The sequence below is a fragment of the Homo sapiens genome, chromosome 2 (assembly GCF_000001405.40).
Source record: "Homo sapiens chromosome 2, GRCh38.p14 Primary Assembly".
NCBI classification, from domain to species: Eukaryota; Metazoa; Chordata; class Mammalia; order Primates; family Hominidae; genus Homo; species Homo sapiens.
In genome coordinates, this window is record NC_000002.12 from 207,308,666 (window position 1) to 207,312,264 (window position 3,599).

Sequence of the window (3,599 nt, forward strand, 5' to 3'; positions counted from 1 at the left end):
GTATCCTCAAGTGTGATTATTCTTTGGCCAGCTTCAGAGCCATGGACAGAGCCCATGGAAGTGAAAGGCCCTGAAGCTTAAAATGCACTAGCCTCATGGCAAATCCACCTCTATGCAGAGGCTCTGCGATGAAGTCTTCTGCATCTTGTACCACAACCCAATCTGGAAGCTACTCCACCCACCAAAAGTACAGTCTATAAAAACTTCACCACTGCCTCAGCATGGCAACCATGCAGAGGAAGCAGTTAGAAAGAGATCAAAGAGATAAAAATGTGTGTGGCTCTGAACACTGTGAAATCTTCCTAGATAATGATTAAATGGCAGCAGATATCTTGCCTGTCTGTCCTTCTGAACCAACATGGCTCCATCTTGGCATTTCTCAGAGGAAAGCCCATGGCCATGTAGTGCCTTCAATGTTCCCATCTGGCAGAAGTTGGGCAACATTTCCAAAAATCTAATCTTTTCACATTCTCTTCTTTCTTCTTAACCTCACGTAGCACACCAGGCACCTGGACCCCTTAACAGACCAGAAGACTGGTCAGATGACCCTCTCTGGACGCAGTCAATAGAGGGCAAACTCCCACTCTCTTCATGCAGTGTGCATTGGAGTGAGGCAAGGAAGGGAGTGTGGGAGGAGTGGCCAAGGAAGGTTGCCCACCCTGGTCTAAAATGAAGACTTTTCAAGAAAAAACTGACCACTTTGGGGGCCTCTCGTGCACTGAGCATTAATTTCTCAATGCTTCTCCTCCCCAGCTCCCCTCTAACTCTTTGGCCCCTGTGCCCATGGTTGTCTCCTCATGCCACCACGGCATCTGCTCAGAGGACACCCGCCTGATGACCAAGATGAATCATGCTTAGGAAAGCTCCTGGGCAACCCTAGGCAATCCAGCAAAGCCCCCTAGACTTTCTCTAGCATGCACCCCTCCTCCCCACAACCACGGGGTCTTCAGGAGTTCTGGCCATCTCTCCTGACCCTCTGAGGTCCAATTTTCAAGCACTTTTATTCACATTCAAGGTACGAGATTAATAACACCCCCTACCTTAAGGTATATGTTTTGAAAAAGAGGACAATGTCTTAAGCAGAAGATTCAAAGTGAATGAACTTTAATTAAATGTCCAATAAAGAGAGATATAGATATGGATTTTAAGAAAAACTTCTAGGCATCTTAAAATAGGGTAGTCCATTTAATCCCCACATTTAAGCTTCCCTGTAATGGGAAGAAATAAATAAACTGAGAGCTTTGGGGTAGGAAGACAGGGTCGAGGGGTAACCTGGGAGGGGGCTGGGTGACTTGTTGCAAAAGTCAGAAGACCATGAGTCAGGGTGGGATCAGTATAACACTGTCATGAATTCTATCTTGCTGGCTTCTGTGCATGTGCTCCTGCGTGCGCGCGCGCGCGCACACACACACACACACACACACACACACACACACACACACACACGGTACAAATGCCTTTGTGGGAGGTGCTATTACCAACACCAAGTCTAAATCTAAGCCTCTCATTTTGTATTCCCTGCACTGTAAGGGGCAGCCCAAGGGGGCCGGGGTGGAGGGCGGGTGGGAGGCACATCTAGAAGAAGAAGGACAGATTTAAAAGGAAAGATTATTTATGAGGCCATGAAGACGTTCTTCCCAGACTCCTGAGTGCAGGAGTATGACTTATTTATTTTATTTTCGTTTGTAACCAAAACCTTCCCCTGACTCCCATTGGCCCCAGCTGAGAGGGGAGAGAGGGCCGGCCCGTCAGGCGTTGATCACCGGGCCAACGGGAGACAGTGTGGCGTGATGCTGACGCAGCCCACTGACAAGCCAGGGAGGCCCAGGGGAGCAGCTCTGAGCAGAGCAGCCAGAGCCAAGCAGGTAGAGAGCTGACAGCCGGGGAATTGCTAAGAGGCGCCGGGCTGGTGGGGGCAGGATGGTGAAACAGTTGGACTCGAGAGAAGGTGTGATTTGTGATGCACAAACTGTCGTTTACCCACTCCCCTTGGAGTCCTCTCCACGTCCCTCAGCTCCATCAACCTCTCTCCAGTTTAAATTTCCTCTCTCCCTTCCCCCTCCTGCATGCTCACTCCGTGGGTCCCCGCATTTCTATTCAATAATGTTTCTCTCCCTGTCTCCTTTTGGGAGAAGGAAGGGAGCAGATGAACACACATTAATAACATCAAAATGTCACATAAGTGATCAGCTGGAGGGGGCAGTCTCTCTGATGTCCTCAAGGCATCCTATTTAGGAATTGATATCTGCAGAGCCAGAAGAAAGCACAGCTGCTCTGGGGTACAGGCTAGGGAGTTAAGGGGATGGCTGTGTCAGTGTTGGGAATTCGTGCACTTACGGTGCAAAAGCACAAGGTGCATGAATTACCAAAGGCCTCAAGAACTGCCTGGTCCCACTCTCCTCCCTGGAGAGAGGCATCGCTGAGAAAACAGGAGCTTGTGTCTCCAGACTGGAGTTCTCTTTTAAGAAAATGGAAGTTGGGAGGGAAAGGGAGAGAAAAGCTTCAAGCCTATGGATAAGTCCTGAATCCTCCTCAGAATAGTGACCCCCGACATATGCACTGACGTGCCCATTTATTGAGAATCTCAGAATTCTTCGCAAAGGTGTCCCATTTAAGAAAATCCTCCATCCTTTTCAGGCAAAAGCAACAAACAGTAACAGAATAAAACTTTACTCATCAGATGGTGGTTACCAGTCTTTCCCTGCCATTTTTCTGGATGATGTTTAAAACCATGAGACTCCTGCTGGCCTTTCCCTTGTTACTGCACATAACCACATAGCCCTCTTACACTGGATGAAGCACTTTCTCCATAATGTTCACTTCTTTAATGACAGGATAGATGTTGCTGTTCTGACGACTGGAGTATTCAGACTGATGAGAACCACTGGTGATTCTCAGCAGTCCCAACATCACATGCTTCCTGTCCTGATGACCTGTGAGTCACCACTCCACCACCTCCCTATATGGGTGAGAGGTTACATCAGTCCCAGTCTATAGATGGAACAACACAGGCCCAATTGAGCAGATGTGCTTTCATGAGTCTGTCTCATACTATCTATTGCCAGGAAACAGGGTACAGTTGGAGACATATTGTTGCGTCATCTGAAGGCCTCATATTACAAGACACGACTATGAAGCTAGGCTTCACTCTATCACAGGAGTGGGAGCCTCAGACTTTAGCCCCTGGTTCCAATTCTGACACCTGCTTAGTATAGAAATACTTAGGTCCAGGAGTCAGAGGTTTGAGTTCTAGACTTAGAATTACCACTTAGCAATCACTTTCATCATGTCGCTCACCTGCTAAAAATCTTCCTATGGCTCCCTATTGCCCTTAAAATAAAATCCTAACCCCTCATCATGGAATTCAAGATTGTATCATCTGGCTTTTGCCATCTCTCTTACCCCATCTCACACCTCTCTCCCTCTCACTTGCTACTCCCCAGACACATCAGCCTATCTTTCTGTTCCTTTAAGTCACTCAGGCTGGTTCATACTTCATTGTCTTTGTACATGCTGTTCCCTCTGCCTACAATGTCCTAAAAGTGTCTGTAGTCTGCTAATCATTTCACCCTTAACAAATACTGCATTACTCAATAGGG

The 3,599-nt window shown here is 47.6% G+C and overlaps 1 annotated feature.

The window, feature by feature from the left end:
• Positions 1,691-2,440: an enhancer, noted in NCBI's record as "H3K4me1 hESC enhancer chr2:208175080-208175829 (GRCh37/hg19 assembly coordinates)". NCBI's record gives its function as "activates a minimal SCP1, AML or CMV promoter by ChIP-STARR-seq in naive H9 embryonic stem cells {active_cell/tissue: H9 hESC(naive)}" and the evidence as "EXISTENCE:reporter gene assay evidence [ECO:0000049][PMID:30033119]".